The sequence below is a fragment of the Homo sapiens genome, chromosome 6, assembly GCF_000001405.40.
Source record: "Homo sapiens chromosome 6, GRCh38.p14 Primary Assembly".
Lineage (NCBI taxonomy): Eukaryota > Metazoa > Chordata > Mammalia > Primates > Hominidae > Homo > Homo sapiens.
Window position 1 is genome coordinate 166022040 of NC_000006.12, and position 22153 is coordinate 166044192.

At 38.6% G+C, this 22153-nt stretch overlaps 1 long non-coding RNA gene across 1 annotated transcript, besides 1 other annotated feature; it reads left to right on the plus strand.

Annotated features, from left to right (window-relative positions):
* The first annotated feature begins 3323 nt into the window (after positions 1-3323).
* On the plus strand, positions 3324-20607 carry LOC105378117 (uncharacterized). The gene is made up of 4 exons (XR_943241.2): positions 3324-3432; positions 14294-14518; positions 19726-19872; positions 20529-20607. It is a non-coding gene; the product is annotated as an uncharacterized LOC105378117 (long non-coding RNA).
* Positions 5020-5099: an enhancer, noted in NCBI's record as "active region_25428". NCBI's record gives its function as "activates an Ori minimal core promoter by ATAC-STARR-seq in GM12878 lymphoblastoid cells {active_cell/tissue: GM12878}" and the evidence as "EXISTENCE:reporter gene assay evidence [ECO:0000049][PMID:35858748]".
* Positions 20608-22153: the final 1546 nt, after the last annotated feature.

Consider the following 22153-nt stretch of genomic DNA (forward strand, 5'->3'; position numbering starts at 1 on the left):
AGAAATTAAAACATGTTTCTGCCCAAAGACTTATATGTGTGTGTTAATAACAGCATTACTCATAAAAGCCAAAAAAAAGATATAATTCAAATGTGTATCAGCTATTAAATGGATAAATAAGACTGTGGTAAATCCATTCAATGGAATCTTAATTTGGTATATATATAAAACAGTTCTATATATATTTATATTTATATATTTTATATTTTTATTATCTATATATTGTATTTATTTATAAATTTTTATTTTATATATTTATATATTTTATTTATATATAAATATATAATATATAAATTATATACAAATTTATCCACTGATCCACCTACTGTTGTGTTGGTTTCACTTCTTGAACATTTCATACTAATATAGAAGACATTCTCTTGTGACTAACTTCTTCCAGTAACTATGACGTTTTTGAGATTCATTCATACTGCTGTGGTTATCACTGTTTTTTATATATATAAATATATAAGTATATATATAAATAAAATATATAAATTATGTTTATAAATTTATATATCTTATGTATGTATAAATATATATTTAATATAGTTACATTATGTAAATTATAAATATATTGAATATATTTATGTATAAATATATACTTAATATATTATATATGCTATATATATTAAATATGTATTTTTATATATTATATATTATATATTTTTATATATTATATGTAATTTATATAAACATGTATCTATATGATTTATATATATTTATATATTATATATAAATATATATGTTTATATGAATATATATTTATAAAATATATACTTATATAAAATATAAATATATACATTAATATGTATAAAATTATATATAATTTGTATATAATTATATATAAGTATATAATTATATATTATGCATTATATTACATATAAATATACAAATAAAATATATATTTATAAATATATAATAAATGTATATATTTATAAATATATAAATAAAATATTTTATTTAATATTTATTTATATTAACAAATAAATGAAATAATATATTTATATATAATGTATAATATATGCTATATTTCGTATAATTTATACATTATATATATTTATATAATGTGTAAATAAATATAATATATAATTATAATATATAAATATATAACATATTATATATTATATATAATTTATATATAAATATACATCTATATATAAATATGTAAATAAAATATATATTTATACATAAATATATAAATTTATAAACATAATTTGTATGTTTTATTTATATATAAATTTATATATTTATATATATATATAAAACAGTGATAACCACAACAGTATGAATGAATCTCAAAAACATCATAGTCACTAGAAGAAGCTAGACACAAGAAATTGTCCTCTGTATTAGCAGGAAATGTTCAAGAAGTGAAATCAACACAACAGTAGGTGGATCGGTGGTGGCCTGGAGCCTGGTGAGGGTCGTGACTGCAGGGAGGCATGAGGTCACTGCAATGCTGTGCACATTTCCCAAAACTCATGAGACTGTACACTAAGCATGGGGAAGCTCCACAACATGTAAATTATTTTTCAATAAAGCTATTTTAAAAATACTTCCCACAAAGAAAACTTCAGGCCCAAAAGACTCCAACAGTGAAGTTTATCAAATATTTCGGGGAAAAAATAACACCAGTCTACCATAAACTTTTTCAGAAAATAGGAGACTAGCATATGCTCCTATGACCCAGCAATTCCACTCCTTGGTATTTCCCCAGGAGAAATGAAAGCACATGTACAGTTACATGTTTGCAGCAGCTTCCTTCATAATCAGCCCCAAAGTAGAATCAACCCAAGTGTCCATGAAGGGGTGTGGTCCCTGCATACAGTGGAACACTAGTCAGCTTCCACTGCGATCAGGAGCAAATTGCTTATAAACACGACATTATGGACATCTTAGTTTAGGCTGCTGTAATAGAAATACCACAGATCAGGGGACTTAAACAACACACATTTATTTGTCACAGTTCTGGAACTGGAAATCCAAGATTAAGGTGCTTGCAGATTTGATGTCTGGTAAGCGCTGTTTCCTGGATTTCTGATGGCCACCATCTTATTATTTTCTTACAGGATGGACAGTAGAGGGAGGGAGAGAGAGAAAGAGAGAGAGAGAGAGAAATAGGGGGAGAGGGAGGCGGATGGGGAAGGAGTGAGGTGGGGGACAGGGAGAGGGAGAAGGAGACCTTGTGCCTCCTCCCCTTTTACATTTCATCCGCAAGACCTAGTTACCTCCCAAAGGCTCCACCTCCTAATAATGATGCAGGATTTTTCTCAGTCCCTTCATTGTACTCATGAGGGGAGCAAACGTTTACACGGCCCACCGTGCTCAATCCCTTGCAGGAAGGAGCATGTGAGCAAGCGAGTGCAGGACCCAGCCAGCTGCTCTGGGCCCCAGCAGGAGCAAGCTCTGTGCAGCAGCGCCCAGGTAGGGGAGGCAGGTGCCTGCGACCCTAAAGCCCCTGAGGGCATGTTACAGTGCTCTCTTAGTTCTGACATCCATGGATGGTAGTGTATTATCAGTTCAGTTGGCTCTTTGTCTCATTCTTTGGGGCAGCTGCCCTCTGCCAGCAAACGCAAAGGGCCAGTGTGACAGCCTTTTTTGTGTATCTATACTCGGTGGGTCCTGAGCTCTTGTCCAGCATCCAAGAAGAATGAGGTCATGTGGACACTTGAAGGGTGGTGAAGGTGGAGAATTTTATTTAGCAATGGAAATGGCTCTCAGCAGAGAGGGGAGCTGGAGAGGGGGTGGGACAGGCAGGTCATCTTCCCCAAAAGTCAGGCTAGTTCTTCCCTGAAGTTAAGCCATCTCTCCTGTGAAGTCCAGCTGTCTCTTTGAAGTCAAGTTGTCTCTTTCCAGTCAAGCTGCTTCTCTCTCTAGTCAAGCTGCTTCTCTCCCCTCTACTGACTGAGTCTGGGGTCTTTATAGACACAGGATGGGGGTGGGGCTGGTCATAGGTAGTTTGGGGAAAGGCAACATTTGATTGGCAAAAGGCATTATCCAGAAAGAACCAATTGGAAAAGAATGGGCAAACAGGAATAGAAGTTCCCACTTTGGGCTGTGGGTATCAGGATTTTTGGCTTGAAGGTGGGGTTTCACTGGGGACCCACTCCTGTCTGCCTAGACTTTCTCTGCCTCCTGCCTCTATCAATACCATCACCTTGGGGGCTGGGCTTCAAGCTATGAATTTGAGGGAGACACAAACACTCAGGCCATAGCAATGGATAAATCTCAAAAACATTCCGTGTTGCCACAGAAGCCTGACCCAACAAATTCCAAAGTGCATGATTCCATTATCAAAAATGCTAGAGAGGAGCATTCCAACCACCAAAAGCTGACCCATCCTCGCCCGAAGTGGAGAGCTGATTGCAATGGAACTTTCTAGGGCCAGGGAAATATTCTATAACTGGATTATGGTGTGATTACACTGAGGTAGGCTTTTGTCAAAACTAATTCAAATGTACACTTCAGTGGGGTATGTTTCCATGTGTGCAAATTAGATTTTCCCAAAGTTAAACTCAAGTTGATGGACTTATTTCGAAAAGAAAATAAGTGACAGTAAACAGCCTAAGTCACTAAGCCAGGCTCTAAGTAATGTGCCAGGTGACATGCCTTCGGGCCCGGTTAGAGCATGCTTCTGGGAGGGCTGGCCCAAAGCCAGGGCAGCCTAGTACTGAGCACTTCAACTGGAAGTGCTTTCAAAAAACAATCGCAGGCTCTTCCAGGTCACACTGAAATCAATCTCCAATAAAAGAGAAGGGAGACACCAGTTAGCCGGCAGCCAGAGGACCCCATCCTCATCCTAGTTCTCTGTCCTATGCCTTCTACTTGGCACTATGCAGATTTTAGGAGAAATGAAATAGCAAGGCCGTGGAGAGCAAAGCATTGGTGTGGGGCCTGTTTCTCCCCATCCCTCAGCCGCACACCCGAGTCTGCCCCTTGCTTGGGATCCCTCCCAGCTGTGAGCCCCAGAGGCGGGTAAGGAGTCTACCTGTTCCGTGCTCTGCCAGCCCAGCATCCCCTCTGAGGCTGAGCTGGCCTGGCTGCCCCTGCTTCCATATCCCTTCTCTTTCATCATAGCGTTGGGTAGAGTCATAGAGACCTCAAGCCACTAAAGAGCAAACATATTCAAACTTTGCCACAGCCCACATTAAATACAATTAAATATATATGGGTTGAGTTAAATTGCAGGTAACCAATTGCCATGTTATATTTTGCGGGCATTTAGTTAAACATTTATTTATTTCAAGTTTTCCCACCCACAAATTAGAACCAACTTTTTTCCAATGTAGGTTCCTAAAAACCTCAAAAACTCTGGGATAGCAGGGTTTCTCTACCGACCATGCCTCATCTGTAAAATGGAAAATGGTCTCTGGTCTTTCCTTGCCACATACAGGCCTCTGGCTTCCTGCTTAGCCTTTTTTTTTTTTTTTTTTTTTGAAAGCTTCGACTTCATTGAAAGGGAGCTCCCGTGAAAAGAGCCAGAGAGCTGTGGGGCATGGGCGGAGGTGTGGGAGGGTGGGCGTGTTCTCCAGCCCCGGCTGCACACCCCTGTGCTGATGAGTAGCCTCTCAGCCCCTGCTCCCAGCGTACACAGACGGCTGGGGACCCATTGCATGCACAGGAAGAGTCCAAGGCTCTGCTTTCTAACCAGTGCCCCGGCAGTGCTGTGGTCTTAGGCTGGGCTCCTTCCAGGCAGGCTCCTGCCTCCAGGCTGAGCTCTTGCCTCCTCCTAGCTTCTTGCTTACTTAACTGAGGAAGGGCTCCCAGGGGAAGCTGCCACGGAGTGGGGAGCAGGAGAGGCCAGGAGGGGAGTGAAGTCAAGATGTGAGAGCAGCTGGAGACACGCTGTGGCCTGGCTCAAGGCGAGGCTTGGAACCAGCATCCCACCTCAAGGCTGATCCTGCCTGGAGGCAGAGTCTGAGAGCTCTCAGACCCCGCTGGGCAATTCTCCCCAGAAGTGCAGCTGTGAGCCATTCACATGGTCACTCACAGCTGTCCTGGCCTAGGAAAGGGGAAGTGAACACCCACAGCGCCTACTCCCCAGAGCTGCAGATGTGAGGACCACACTGTGAGGAGAGCTCTGGTTCCTAAAGCCAGTTCTTAGATGGCTGCCACACCAAGTGCAGACCTTTTACCGCTACAGATTTCCAGGAACCACCCCCAAAGCAAAGGTAATTTCTAGGCGCTTCCCCGGGGCTCCAATTGCAGTGAAGTTTGAGACGCGCTAAATTTTAGCTAGTGTTTCACAGGCTCTGACTCTTGCCCACGAATGAGTGTCTGCACGGTGTTTCTCACCACCCCTTGCTCTGCCATGCCCAGGCTAGCTACCACGTGGAGCATGCAGGCTCCACTCCACACTGTTGCCCTCGGTGGGGTGCTGCCCACATCACACATCCCTGTCATAGCTGGGTGCTGGAGCCACATTCCCAATGCTCCCGAGAGCCCGAGAGCCAGAGTTTTTGGTTGCAGGGAGACCCTCTCTCCCCTTTGTAATACACTTTGTAAAGCAGAGGTCGTATGAGCCTAAATGGTGCAGTTTTAGTGAAACATCTTTTTGGGTCTTTTTATCAGACCAAGGCAGATGTGATCCTGGAGAGGTAAGGGGACGCATTTATCCAAGTGACAATGTTCTCAGCATTTCCCACACCTCCTGCGATGTAAGGTCTTAGCACCAGGTCAGTCTCTCTAGGGAGGCTCCTCATGCAAATAAAGTCCTGGCAGCCTCCAGGCTGGGTCCTCAGATATCCCCAGATAGATGTGGATACTCAAGCTTCAGTGAGAAAGTCAAAGAAATGGATTCTGTTCCTTTCCTGGGTTCAGGAGGTGACCATGAGTAAATCCCTCATCTTCCTCCCTCTCACACTTTTCACCAGAAAGAACAACTTCCTGTAACACATCGAGTGTTAGTCATGGTTGTTTTAGGACAGGAAGATTGTGTGTGTGTGTGTGTGTGTGTGTGCGTGTGTGTGCTTTTTACTTTACACATCTTTATATGCTCCAAATTGTCTACAATGAAAGAAAGAGAGCTTCTATCTCTCCAGGCACTGGGCACATAGAGATGATTTGTAGAGTAGGCAGTAGAGATGGTTTCTAATCACAAGGCCTAGACGAGAAAAGGTAGAAGCCAGGCATTTCTTGGCGTCCATACTGAGGGGCGTGTGAGTTAAGTCTTGTGAACACTCCTCTTTGAAACCTTTCCACGTGCGAATGAAAAATTAAGAGCCTGGGCACTAAGAGGTCTTGTAAAAATGTTTCCCTGCATTCAGCCTGCTACATTTGCTATAGAAAAGAAGCATAATGAAAACCTCAGGGCTTTGCGTGAGCTGTTAATACATTATCTCTAGATTGATAATTATTCCCCTAAAATGAAATGTCTTGTCTGATAGGAATTATCTGTTTATTATACTGTTGAATATCCCACAAGCTACATGTGATTTCTCCTGACATTCTCAGGTGGAAGATCAGAAAAGCAGAGCAGGAATTGGTTTCATGCATTTTCCAAATTCCTATAAAATGCTCAGGTTGGGTTTGATGCTGGTTACTTCATCTGCAGTAACTCAAAGTGCAGGTCTGTTTTTCACAGGTGGATTTTATAAGCAGGTCTGAGTAACAAGATGAGAAGTCCAGATTTAACTCTTATCCTATTAATCTTGTCAATGCAGACACCAAGTTGGATGTGTAAGATTTTAAGAAATTGAGAATTTGTAGTTTAGCTGTCTTCTCTGATCCCGTATCTGATGGCTAATAATATTCTTCTGCCACTCCTTGGTGGAGATAAAAAGCCCAGGGAGTGTTGCTCTCAGATAACAACAAATTATCCCCCACGGATACACAGAAAAGAGGCAGGAGAGTATCAGGGAAAGAGGACGTGGCTAAGAGGGCTGACTGGGGATGGCGTCTTCCCTCTATCGCTCACCAGCTGTGGGCTTCCGTGTACATCACATCATGGTTGAAGCTGTGGATTACAACAAACCGAGTCCCCTTCCCACTTCTAAAATACCACTCTTATCTTGAGAAAGTTATTTCTTTATTGATGGAAAATAGAAAATAAAATTCAACTAAAAAGGTCAGAGTTTTATAAAAAGCAGGCAACTGTAACAAATGTGGAAATAAAATATAATATCTGACTCATCTAGATCTAGATCCTTTCCTTAAACCTTAAAACAGATGCCTGCAATATGTAAACAATCCACTATTTACACATAGAAAAGAATCCTAAAGCTAGAATAATGAAAAAAATGTAATCCCTGCAGGACCTTAAATTTATAATGGGCTGGATGCTGAGAGACAATTCTGCCTTGGTCTTTCGGGTTTCTGAATGTCTTGCACACGAGACACTGACAGCCTTGGTTCTGAACTACCTTTTCAAGGATATTCGTGTAGAAGAAACTCCTTCCTGGGCGACGGGTAGGCATGCTTACTGCCCACTGTAATAGAGTCCCCCTCAGGGCAAATGACACGCATGCCCATTGTAAACATGTGACATTTCCTAAATCAGGGTTCTGCTCCTGTATTGCAAATAATGGCAAGTTAATTCTTTTGTCTTGGTTTCTGGGATTTGGGTTGTGGGGGATGAGCTGCTGGCTACCTCAAATGCTGTGAGTAAGAAACTGTCCTTCCTCTCAGCGAGCATCTGGGGAAATACGCAGGCTGGTTTGTGAGCCTGCAAATAGGGAAAGTCCCAGACCCTTCACCCTTCTTGATTGAAAGTTGAATTTTCACAGCACACCTCTGGGAATTACTGAAATTACAGCCATAATGATTCATAGGTTTCCTATTCCTCGTAAGTTTTCAAATAGCAGTGCCCTTGTGAGACTGATGCTGTATGTTGTTTAACACTTTGATCCTTCACCTCCTGATTTATAAATATAGATAATGGTATAATCCTCATAGGAGCTTTGCCTGTGATGTCACACATGGGAACACCCAGACGGCACCTGGATATTACAGTCACTCCATTTTCATTTGTGGATTTTGAATTTGAAATGTCATAAAAATTTATATTAATGATCACACTGGGAAAAAGAGACTAGATTTACCCTTCAACCTAGAAAACTAAAAAGTTGAAAAACGTACAATTCTCATTTAAAAATGAATTTAAAAGCTATTGATTGTTTAAAGCAAAACTAATACAATGTATGGTGAGGTTAACAACTTATGAAAAAGGAAAATATCTCAGAATACAAGCAAAAAGGGCAAAGAGGAAGAAAATGAGAGTAAATTACTTTAAGTTTCTTCCATATGCCTAATATCATACTATCATAACAACATACTATAACATACTTGATGCTATTGCAAGGTAGATTTGGTAAATTTAAGATAAGTAAGATATAATAGGTGCTCTCAGAGCAACTGTGCATATAAACAAAAGCTATATGGCTAATAAACCAATTATAGCAATATAATTAAATTCTTAAAAACAAGTCAAGGTAAAAGAAGACAGGAAAAGAGAGGAATAGTGAAATAACAGATGGAACAAATGAAGAACAAATAAAAAGATAGTAGATTTAAACCCAAACATATCGATACCAGAGTAAATGTAAATGGTCTACATCAGTTATTTCTACCAAGGGTCAGATAGTATAAACAGTTACGCCTTGCATGCAGTGTAACCTGTGCTGCTGCAATAGCAGCAATATATAATAATTACCTATTTATAATACATAATTTAGATATAATATGTAATACATATTTATATGTTATATAATTTATAGATATGTTATTTATAAATATAAATATATTATATTTATATATAAATATAATATATTTATATATAAATATAAATATAATAATATATTATTATATATGATATATTATATTATATGATATATTATATATTATAATATATTATAATATATAATATGTAATACATATTTATATGTTATATAATTTATAGATATGTTATTTATAAATATAAATATAATAATATATTATTATATATGATATATTATATTATATGATATATCATATACATTATAAGTACATATAAGTTGTAAATGATACATAATATATTAAATATATAATTATATATTAGAATTAAATATTATAAATGTATAATTCTGCTGTTATAAAAAGTCAGTTATAGTTATAAATATATTTGTAATGTATATATTTATATAATATATTTATATATTAAAATACTTATAATGTATACATATTTATATAAAATTAAATATATAAATATAAACATAAATAAATATATTTTATAATATAACATAAATATATGTAAATATATAATATAGAAATACATTAATTAATTAAATATATTTAATAATATTAAATATATGTAAATATATTTAAATGTATTATGTAAATATATTTATATAATTATATATTATAACAATATAATTCTGCTGTTGTAAAAATATCAGTTATAGACATTTCACAAACGAATAGACAAGACTGTGTTTTCATAAAACTTATTTATACAACCAGGTGGCAGGATGTGGCCCAGGGGCCATAGTTTGCTGACTTCTAGTCTAAACAGTCTAGTCAAAAAGCAAATCAAAACATCTATGTAGCTAGTGAGATAGAGATATGTAAATAAAGACACTGAGAGGCTAACAGTAAAATATTGGGAAAAAAACATGCATTATTAGAACACCAATCAAAAGAATGCTGAAGTGGCAAGGTTAACATTAGACAAAGTAGATTTCAGAGCAAAGAATTTTACTGTGAATACAGATCTTTTTTAATGATATAGGAGTCAATTCACCATAAAAACATAACAATGCTAAATTGGTATGTACTTAACAGGTTTTCAAACTTCTTGAAGCAAAAACTGATAAAACAAAAAAGTATATAAATTCCAAGTATAATTGGAGCTTGCAACTCATCTCTCTCAATAGTTAATAGAACAAAGAGGCAAAAGAGTAATAAAGTTAGAAGACTTGAGAAGCACTAAACGTCGACTCGTCTTCCTTGGCACCCGGAAAACCACCCCCAGTTGCAAACTACACATTTATTTCAAGTCCACATGGAATATTTACCAAGACAGACCACACTCAGGGCCAGAAAAATAAGGGCCAGAAAAATAAGTGTTCATAATTTAGAAGAGATGAAATTATACAAAGCATATTCTCCGAAAAAAATGGAATTAAATTAGAAGTCAATAACAGAAATATATTGTGTGGTAAATCCTCCAAATAGTTGGAAATTGAATAACACTCTTCTAAATGCTCTTCTAAATTCTAATTTATCTGCATATGAAATCAAAAGGGAAATTAAGAAATATTTTGATTCTGATAAAAATATAAAAACAGCATATCAAAATGTGTGAGATGCAGCTAAAACAGTGCTTAAAGGAAAATTTATAACATCAAATGCTTATAGTAGAAAAAAATGTTTCTAATCAACTACTGAAACTTATATATTAAGAAAACTAAGTAATGGTGTAGGGCTTCCGGTAAGGCAGAGTGAGAAGCTCAACAAATCCCCTTCCCCCGCCAAAAAACCCCAGCAACATTGTACGTAACTATTTAAAAAGAAAAAAAAAAACCCACTAATTTCAGGGCCCTGGAAATTGGCCTGAAGCACACAACAAATTTAGAAGATGTGACTCATGGAAACTTGTGGAACTTCAGGTAAGACAGTGGGAGACCCTAGGATTCTTGCCTGCGCCTGACCCCATCCCTCTCTAGCTCTATTGGTGAGGCAGTTCTACTAGTTTGGGGCTAGTCCTAGAAACCAGTAAACTTTGCTGCCAGAGGGAGCTAACTTGATTTGGAGTAGAATGCAAAACAAACAAACAAACAACAAAATCCTACCCCCAGTGGCACTGTCTGTAACAGCAGCCATCTCAGTGGCAAACCCTGAGGAAGAGCAGTGGCTCAGCTAGCCTGAGGTTGCAGTCCTGACTGGGACAAGAAACAGAGCAGCAGACTAGCCAGAAAATTAACCACGTCCAGGAAATGAGACTGCTTGGATACCACTGATCAGCCACATGGAGAGACTGGAGAGAGCCTGAGCCGCCCACTGGCTGGCCATGAGCCTGCACAGATACATACACAGAGGAGATGCAGCAGGACCCGGCTGAAAGTTCAAGCCAGGACAGACTTGGAAGCTGCCTGAACTTGGAACACTCTCCCCGAACCACGTACTGACCTATTGGCTCAGGCTGTTTGAGCACAGCCTCTGGGCAATCATTGGCTGCACACTAAGCTATGCAGACACATGGGTGACCCGTAGAAACCATACTTAAAAATGAAAACAAGAATTTAAAAACTGAGCAGAGACATCAGTGGTCACACACTATAGGAGAAACAGACCTCATAAATTTACTCTAGACAAGTACTAAACAAGCAAAAAATCAGCAACAGCTGTATAACCTACAAGAAGAAAAATCAGAATTCATAGTTGCTAAATTATATATATGAATATATACATATATTTACCTAAATATTGGATAAGTCTATCGTATTTTTTGAACTGCACAGTTTTCAACCAGAAAATTATGGAGCAAACAAAGAAACAGCAAAATTTGATCCATACTCAGGGGTAAAAAGCCATCAACAGCTATATTTTTCAACTCCAGAATTTCTGTTTGATACTTTTTAATAATTTCAAATCTTATTCATTAGCATGAGTTTTAAATGCTCTTCATATCAATTCCTTGTCCGTTACACTTTACAAATAGATTCTCCCAGTTTGGGGTTCATCTTCACTTTCTTAATTTTAACATAATGATATTCTCTTATTTTTTCTTTTTAGAGGTTGTGTCAGTCAGGTGGAGTTAGTAAAAAAAGAATGCACAAGAGGTAGCTCTGCAGAGAGAGGTTTAAGAGGGGAACTTGTTACAAAGGTGTTCGAAGAGCTGAAAAGACCATGAGGATGGCAGGACAACCCAGAGGTCAGCAACATGGAAGGCCACCAACATCCCCAGGCCTGGGGAACAAAGGAGGGTATGATGTTACCAAAGCCCAGGAATCAGGAGCACCTGCTGGGAGCTGGGACCTGGGGGCAGGGGATCTCCGCGGAAGTGACACCTTGGAGGATACACAGCCCTTCCCCAGACACCACTAGAAGCTGAGAAAGGAGGAAATGCCCTGGATCCTCTTTTTCCCTTCAAGTGTCTGCCGGTGCCTTCTATTGGCTCATCTTACGTGGAAGTCAGGGATCAGGGAGCCTGGGAAATTAGTTTCCAAGGTCAACCCTCTGAGCTACAGAGCAGAACTTGGAAAGAGGAGGGAACTGATCTGAGAGAAAACAGGCAAGGGACTGGGACGGAGGATTAAAGTCTTGCTTTTAACATTTAAGTTCTTAATCCCTCTGGAGTAGATTTTTGTTTATGGTGTAAGGTATGGATCAAATTTCATTTTTCTTCCTTATCAACAACTAATTTTCCCAGTTACACTGGAAGTTAACATGTAGATACTGATATGGTTTGGCTGTGTCACCACCCAAATCTCATCTGGAATTATATTTCCCATAATCCCTATGTGCGGTGGGAGGGACCTGGTAAGGTAATTGAATTATGGGGGCAGTTTCCCCCATGCTATTCTCATGATAGTGAGTAAGTTCTCATGAGATCTGATGGTTTTTAAGTGGCTCCCCCCTTTGCTCGGCTCTCATTCTTCTCCTTCCTGACACTATGTGTAGAAGGATGCGTTTGCTTCCTCTTCTGCCATGATTGTAAGTTTCCTGAGGCCTCCTCAGCCCTGTGGAACTGTGAGTCAATTAAACCTCTTTCCTTTATAAATTACCTGGTCTCAGATATGTCCTTATAGTAGCATGAGTATGGACTAATAGAGATACATATCTTTCTAGACTCTCAATTAAATTATTTATTAAATACAAAACTATGGTTTCTTAAAATCAATGAAAAACTTAACCTTAAAATGCATCTCAAAATTCTTCAAATTTTGGTTAAAAATATAACTTTAAGAATTAAACTTTATACAAATTAGCAACTCTTGATTGCCAAAAACTCTTTGTTTCCCCTCTAGACATGGAGAGAATATTTGGAGCAGAAAGACATCAGTATTTTTTTAAACAAAGAAGTCATTATCTTTTATATCCCTACTGTCCTTCACATAATTGTGCAAATACACAAAGTATTTATTTTTGTAAGAGATGAGGAAAAAACCTACAGGGCAGGGTGCAGTGGCTCACATCTCTGATCCCAGCACTTTGAGAGACTAAGGTAGGAGGATTGCTTAAGGCTATGAGTTCAAGATCGGCCTGGGTAACATAGTGAGACCCTGTCTGTACAAAAAATAAAAATAGCCGGGCATGGTGGCATGTACCTGCAGTCCCAGCTACTTGGGAAGCTGAGGCAGGAGAGACACTTGAGTGTGGGAGGTCAAGAGGCTTCAGTAAGCTGTGACTGCACCACTTCACTCCAGCCTGGGTGACAGAGAGAGACCCCTGTCACCAAAAAAAAAAAAAAAAAAAAAAAAAAAGAGAGAGAGAAAGAAAGAAAAGAAAAGAAAAAGTAAAACATACATTCACTGGAAAAGTTTTGCCCCATGGAAAAGTCTATGCAGTCTCAGCTTCTTATCCCCCATAACATTGTTTCTCCTTAGGATGTTTTATTGTCTTGAAAGAGTTTTGAATACTAAGGATTTGCTGTGATCAAGACAAGCTTCCTTCTACCTCTTCAGATTATTTGGTCCTTCTATATTTCACAGTTTAAACCAGTTTTCGAAAAACCAGCTATTGAGGAATAAGGATTCAAAGCAGGAAAGACATCAGAGAGACCAGGTCTACATGGTGCAAAGGCATAGGCACCTACAGTTGGGGGTCTGCATTGTGGGCAGGGTCCTGGCTTCCTTCATAGACCCAGGACCTGCAGTTGTTCTGCTTTCAGTATCTCAGAGTCTTGTTTCTAGAGAACTACCTTGAGTGTCCTAAGCTTGTTTTATGAGCCAATTAAGAACAGTAGCAGAGTCATTGCTGGTTATATTTCTGTCCCTGAATAAAATAGACATTACTCCCATTTGTCTATGTTTCTTCCATTCTTTATGGTCTGAGATAAACCAACATATTCACTAACATTTCAATCAAAAACTAATAATAGAAAACTCGAAAGCACCATACCATTCTCAGATGTCTCTCTTTTATGTTTGAGAGTTATATCATATTGCTTGTACAAATTAAGTTTATATTAAAAGCTTCCTGTGGCATAGGTTCTGAAAATAACTTTTAGATGTGAGAGAACATCTAGCCATTTATCTAATAACTATTGATCAAGTACCTACTATGCTCCTTCTGAAACCTTCTCAATTTATTGAGTACCTACCATGTTCCTTCTGTTTAATTTTTAGTGAGAATTCTTTCTTATCTCTTCCAGCTTCTGGGGTTTGCTGGCAACCTTTGGTGTTTCTTAGCCTGCAGAAGCATCACCCTAACTTCTGCTCCCAGCATCATATGGCTGTCTTCTCCCTGTGTGTCTCTGTGTCTTCACATGCCATCTCTCTTAAAAGGACACCAGATACATTGGGTTAAGGGCCCGTCTGACTCCAGGGTGACTTCATCTTGAGTAATTACATCTGCAGCAACCCTATTTCCAAATAAGGTAATCTTTTGAGGTACTCGATGTTAGGACTTTGACATATCTTTTGGAGGGTCACAGTTCAACTCATAACGCCAAGGTCTGGAAGGATGAAAATGCATAAAATATGTGTAGCATGTTTTATGTTATTAATTTATTTTTTATTTCAATAGGTTGTTTAGGGAGCAGGTGGTGGTTGGTTACATGAATAAGTTCTTTAGTGGTGATTTATGAGACTTTGATGCACCCATCACATGAGCAATGTACATTATACCCAATGTGTAGTCTTTTTTCCCTCACCCCACTCTCACCCTTTTCCCCCAAGTCCCCAGATTCCGATGTATCATTCTTATGCCTCTGCGTCCTCATAGCTTAGCTCCCACTTATGAGTGAGAACATACAATATTTAGCTTTTCATTCCTGAGTTACGTCTCATAGAATAATAGTCTTCAATTACATCCAGGTGGCAGCAAATGCCATTATTTCATTCCTTTTTATGGCTGAGTAGTATTGCGTGGTATATATATACTACATTTTCTTTATCCACTCTTTGATTGATGGGCATATGGGCTTGTTCCATATTTTTGCAATTGCAAATTGTGCTGCTGTAAACATGCATGTACAAGTATCTTTTTTGTATAATGACCTCTTTTCTTTGGGGTGGATAACAAGTAGTAGGATTGCTGGATCAAACGGTAGATCTACTTTTAGTTGTTAAAGGAACCTCCACACTGTTTTCCATAGTGGTTGTACTAGTATACATTCCCACCAACAGTGTTAAAGTGTTCCCTTTTCACCACATTCACACCAATATCTATTATTTTTTATTTTTTTTATTATGGCCATTCTTGCAAGAGTAAGGTGGTATCACATTGTGGTTTTGATTTGCGTTTCCCTGATTATCAGTGATGTTGAGCATTTTTCCATATGCTCATTGGCCATTTGTGTATCTTCCTATGAGAAATGTCTATTCTTGTCCTTAGCCCACTTTTTGATGGGATCGTCTATTTTTTTTTTCTTGTTGATTTGTTTGAGTTCATATTTGATGGGAGTTGCATTGAATTTGCAGATTGCATTTAGCAATATGGTCAATTTCACAATATTGATTCTACCCATCCATGAGCATGGGATGTGTTTCCATTTGTTTGTGTCTTCTGTGATTTCTTTCAGCAGTGTTTTGTAGAGGTATTTTATCTTTTTGGTTAGGTATATTCATAAGTATTTTATTTTTTAGCAGCTATTGTAAAAGGGGTTGAGTTCTTGATTCAATTCTTAGCTTGGTCACTGTTGGTGTATAGAATGGCTACTGATTTGTGTACATTAATTTTGTATCCTGAAACTTTGCTGAATTCATTTACCAGTTCTGGGAGCTTTTTGGAGGAGTCTTTAGGGTTTTCTAGATATACAATCATATCATCAGCAAACAGCAGGAGTTGGGCTTCCTCTACCAATTTGGAGGCCCTTTATTTTTTTCTCTTGTCTGATTGCTATGGCTAGGACTTCCAGTACTATGTTGAATAGAAGTGGTGAAAGTGGGCATCTTTGTCTTGTTCCAGTTCTCAGGGGGAATGCTTTCAACTTTTCCCTGTTCAGTATAATGTTGGCTGTGGGTTTGTCATAGTTGGTTTTTATTATCTTCAGGTATGCTCCTTCTATGCCAATTTTGCTAAGGGTTTCAATCATAAAACGATGCTGGATTTTGGCAAATGCTTTTTCCACATCTATTGAGATGATCATGTAATTTTTGTTTTTGATTCTGTTTAAGTGGTGTATCACATTTATTGACTTGTGTATGTTAAACCATCCCTGCTTCCCTGGTATGCAAACCCATTTGATCATGGTGGATTATGTTTTTGATATGCTGTTGGATTTGGTTTACTAGTATTTTGTGGAGGATTTTTGCATCTACGTTCATCTGGGATTTTGGTCTATAGTTTTCTTTTTTTGTTATGTCCTTCCTCGGTTTTGGTATTAGGGTGATACTGATTTCATAGAATGATTTAGGGAGGATTCTCTCTTTCTCTATCTTGTGGAATAATGTCAATAGTATTGGTACTAAATTCTTCTTTGAATGTCTGATAGAATTCAGCTGTGAATCCATCTGGTCCTGGACTTTTTTTGTTGGTAATTTTTTAAATTAGCATTTCAATCTTGCTGCTTGTTATTGGTCTGTTCAGAGTTTCTAACCTTCCTGCCTTAATCTAGGAGGGTTGTATATTTCCAGGAATTTATCCATCTCCTCTAAGTTTTCTAGCTTATACACATAAAGGTGTTCATAGTAGCCTTAAATAATCTTTTGTATTTCTGTGTTATCAGTTGTAACATCTCCCGTTTCATTTCTAATTGAGCTTATTTGAATCTTCGCTCTTCCTGGTTAATCTCGCAAATGGTCTATCAATTTCATTTATCTTTCAAATAACCAGTTTTTTGTTTCATTTATCTTTTGTAATGTTTTTTTCTTGTTTCAATTTAATTTAGTTCTGCTCTGATCTTTGTTATATCTTTTCTTCTGCTAGGTTTGGATTTGAATGTATTCTGTTTCTCCAGTTCCATGAGGTGTGACCTTAGGTTATCTATTTGAGCTCTTTTAGACTTTTTGATGTAGGCATTTAATGCTACGAACTTTCCTCTTAGCACCACTTTTGCTGTATCCCAGAGGTTCTGATAGGCTATGTGGCTATTATCATTCAGTTTAGAAGAATTTTTAAAAAGAATTTTTTAATTTCCATTTTGATTTCATTGTTAACCCAACAATCATCAGGAGCAGGTTATTTAATTTCCATGTATTCTGCATGGTTTTGAGGGATTTTTTTTGGAGTTGATTTCCGATTTTATTACACTGTGGTCTGACAGAGTACTTGATATAATTTTGATTTTCTTAAATTTACTAAGACTTGTTTTGTGGCCCATTATATAGTCTATCTTGGAGAAGGTTCTATGTGCTGATGAATAGAATGTATATTCTGCAGTTTTTGGGTAGAATGTTCTGTAAATATGTTAAGTCCATTTTTTTGTAGGGTATAGTATAAGTCTATTGTTTCTTTGTTGACTTTCTGTCTTGATGACCTGCCTAGGGCTGTCAGTGGAGTATTGAAGTCCCCCACTATTATTGTGTTGCTGTCTATCTCATTTCTTAGGCCTAGTAGTAATTGTTTTGTAAATGTGGGAGTTCTGGTGTTGGGTGCATTTGTATTTAGAAATGTGATATTTTCCTGTTGGAGTAGTTCTTTTATCATTATATAATGTCGCTCTTTGTCTTTTTTAACTACTGTTGCTTTAAAGTTTGTTTTGCCTGATATAAGAATAGCTACTCCTGCTGACTTTTGGTGTCCATTAGCATGGAACATCTTTTCTCACCCCTTCTTTAAGCACGTGAGGGCTTACGTGTTAAGTGAGTCTCCTGAAGACAGCAGGCTGCATCACGTTGCAGCAGAGGTTCTCAATTTACTTGCTTATAATATTACTTACGATGTTATTTGAGGAATAAAAGTTGTACATTTTATGTTATTACATAAAAAATATTTTATTTTATTTCTTTCATTGTTTTCTATTTAAAATGTCCTTCCTTATCCAATAGTTTAAAATATTCTGTTATTTTTCTAGTTTACATCGATTATTTTTATACTTAATTTCTTTAATCCAGATTATATTAATTTTGATATATTTAGTGAGATACAGCTCTAAAAAGTTTTTTGAATAAAGAATTTTTCCAGCAATGTATGCTGAATAATCAACCCTTACCCATTCTGATATAAACTTCATGTATGCCATCCACCTTTTCCATCACAGCATTTAACACATTAATAAATAGTTACCTTAAAGTTGTCTAACGGGCCCCCAAGCATGAAAACGAAGGAAAACCCTGAATTCCTTCAAGGGAAATTCCAGGTATCTAGCTAGCCCTGAGAAGTAAGGAAGTAACTTGATAAGCAAGGTAGCCTAAAACAATAGTCAAGGAAGTTAGACTCCAGAGGTGTTTGCTTTCCCTATGGAAACTGAAGATAGCATCTTAACATATGTGCCTGAGTTGTCTTTCAGAAACCCGGATCCCCACCAAGGACCCCCACCACCCACTGGCACATAGACCTCAGATAAGGGGGAACTGAAGACTGAACTCTGACCACTGCTCTTTGTTCTAAATTTCGTCCTGAGGGACCTGGAGAAAGTCACACCCATAAGCCAGAGCTGAGGTTCTTTTCTGGTGACCCCCAAATTTTTAAACAAAGCTTCTTTTTCTTAACCAATTGCAAATCAGAAAATATTGGAATCGACCCACGACCTATAAGCCCCCACTTTAAGACATCTTGCCCCTCTTAGGCCAAAACCAATGTATACCCTCCATGTATCAATTTACAATTTTGCCTGTAGCTTCCGCCTTCCTGAAATTTACGCATGCCTTTAAAAGCCCTAACCTGCAAGCCATTGGGTAAGGTGGGATATGAGCATTAACCACTTGGTCCTCCCTGTTTGGTGCCCTGCAGATAAATAGTTTCCTTTCTGCCTCTGCAAAACCTCCGTGTGGATATGTTTTTACTGCACCAGGTGAGGAGACCCCAGTTTGGTTGTATAACAGTTTCATCTTCTGGGTTATCTGAGTCCAGCTTTGTTGATTGCTTTATCTCTTGAAAAATATTTAACTTGCTCTATTTTGTATTTCATAATCTTCTTAAAGAAAATTGTCTTATGTCAAAACTGAATACTGGACACTGTGTGAAAGAGTGGAGACTGAGGAGATCATTATTTATACGTGGAAATGGAGAAGACATTAGTGTAGAACTGAGTCAATCAAGTCAGTTTGGGTTTTGTTGTTCGTCTCCAAGCCAGACACACTCTTCCTCTCTGGAGGAATCCCCTCCACACCCCACAGCCCTGGCAGAGGAGGCAAGGTTCTCTTCTACCCTTAATCCCCACAGGTCAGAGGTGAAGGCCAGAGGGTGGCAGCCAGGACTCAGGTGGGAGCCAGGACTCAGGTCGGGGCCAGAAGTTGATGTGCATCTGTACCACCGGTGGGGGCTCTTACTGGCCTCCTACTCCAGTTTGTCTTGTGAGCACCCAATGGGACTCATGCAAAGGAGGTTGCAAAGGAGTGCCAACTCCTTTTGTGCTAGAGACCCCCCCCCCCAGACATTCCAAAAGGACCCACTAGCCCATGCTTTAATAATTTGATGAAATTTTGGTGATTTCTCCTTACACTTTTTATAAACAACTCTTTCTCCTGTGCTATGCTAAAGGGAAACACTCCACCTCTCCTGGGAGCACTTTGTCAGTCTTTGAAATCTGGATTACTTGGCAACCTTGCAAAGATAGCTGTCAGCTTGACAATAAGCTCAAGAGAAGTTATGATTCTGCAGATTATCCAAGTTCTTCTTATTACTAAGGTGAGAATGCCAATCTTTACAACTTTCTACCCCCTGTGTGGAAACGTGTTTCTAGGACAGATACCTAAAAGTGGAAAAACTGGGTCACATGACATGCAGTTTTCATAGGCAGAAAAAACCTCATAATTTGAAGGTCTGTGTGTATTCTTTCCCCAGTAATAACACCTTTAACTGAAAATTTATCACTTGTTTTTCTTGCTCCTTCAACCACATGTTAAGGGACCCTTGTTTTCTGGTATACACAGAGGACACTGTCCTGGGTGAGCCCAGAGAACTGACTGTTCAGTCTAGAAAGAAGCTTAGCATCTAAGGAAAAAGACTCAAAAGAAACTGGAAAAAGTGCTGACAATAAAGGGTTTAGCAGAGAAATTCTTTTTTTCTTTTTCCTGGTGAACTGCATAGAGAATTTCCTTTTCCTAGGTCCCCAATAAGGACTTGTCTTCCATCTCCTGTATATCAGCCATGTTTGAGGCAGTCTTTCTCAAATTCTTTCTCATTAAATTACTTTAAGAACATCGATGACTGCAGAAGCTGTTTTTCTAAAACAATTACAGACATGAGAACGCTTGCATTGTTTTAGAAGTAAGGGTCAATTAAGCAAGGGGTCTGATAGGTCTTTTTCCGTGTCTAATGCTAAAGGTGTTCTACCCTCGTAGGTCAGCGGCAGAACTCAAAGTACAACAGGGACAGCGGAGAGTCTCGGATCCATCCGGTGTCTTGGTACATGCGTTTCCCACCAGCCACTCCCAAAAAAGACCAGGGAAGTGGATTTGATATTTAAAATTGAGAAGGACTTAGGGCACTGTGGTAGCAATATAAAGACTAATGCCCACCTGTTATAAAAGGAACGGTGAGGGCTGAGCACGGTGGCTCACGTCTGTAATCCCAGCACTTTGGGAGGCGGAGGCAGGTGGATCACCTGAGGTCAGGAGTTCGAGACAAGCCTGACTAATATGGTGAAACCCCATCTCTACTAAAATACAAAAATTAGCTGGGTGTGGTGGCACATACCTGTAGTCACAGCTACTCTGGAGGCTGAGACAGGAGAATCGCTTGAACCTCAGAGGTGGAGGTTGCATTGAGCCGATATTGCACCACTGCACTCCAGCCTGGGTGACAGAGCGAGGCTCTGTCTCAAAAATAAAATAAAGTAAAATAAATAAATAAATAAAGGAATGGGGAGGAAAGGAATGAGTTGAACCAAACTCACGTATGATAAACCCTAAAATCCTATGTGTTTTCCACAGGGCATTTTCTGTGGGGCAACTTGGTTCCCCTGAGAGGGAAAGAAATGTAAATAACAGGAGTAAAAGTCAGGGAGATGAGGAGGGGTGGAGAGGCTGGGGAGGGAGGGAGTGAAGAGAAGTGAGGAGAGGAGGGGGCTGCCATGACTGATACTTGGAGGAGCCACTTGTTTTCTTTAGACTTTGGTTTCCTGGTCTGTAAAATGAAGCTGCTGGACCCTATCATGTTGAAGGTTCTTTCCTCCTTTAAGATAGCATTTCCTCTTTGTTTTAGATTAAGCTAAAGTAAGCCCATGCTGTTGTGTCACAGTGAATTACCGTTTTGGTAACCAGGTCTAAGACACTGGGCATCATCTAGCACATCAAGAATCTGAAGTCCTGGGCAGTGACACTTGGAGAGATACTGGGTGTCTTTTCATGAGGATTCAGTAAAATGCTGAAATCTGAACTGGAGGCTACCTGTAAGTATCTTCCTTTTCTCAGGACAGAAAACAACCTAAACATACTCTCCTTCATCCTCGATTTTCCCAAAAGCAAAAGGCTTTTAATAGAAATTCTTAAAATCCACCATAAAATGGCAAGGTATATTTCATGTCCATTACATTTTGTTTAGAAGGGGAAGAAACTTTTTCTTCAGCATTTGTCAGAACGTTAGAACTGTGCAACTTGAGGCTAAAACAAAAATGTCAAATTTTGAAATGTCAGAAGTGTAAATCACTAGTTATGATATTAGTAACAATGATAATCATGGCTGACCTAACAGAAGTCTCAATAACTTGAGAATTTTCAAGTAATTATCTATTTATTATCTTAATGTTTTCTCGTCAAATCCCTGTGGGGAAATGGGCTAGGTGATTACATTCTACAGATGTAAAGGAAGGAAGTGGGGCCCAAGGTGGTGGTGATCTAGGACCAGACTCAAGACATGCTTCCGAGTCCAGGGCTTTGTTCCCCAGACCAAACGTCATCAGGTAACGAGGCAGTTGCCACTGGGTAGGTGTGGCTAGAATCCGCTGGGGCAATACAGGCCCCTCCCA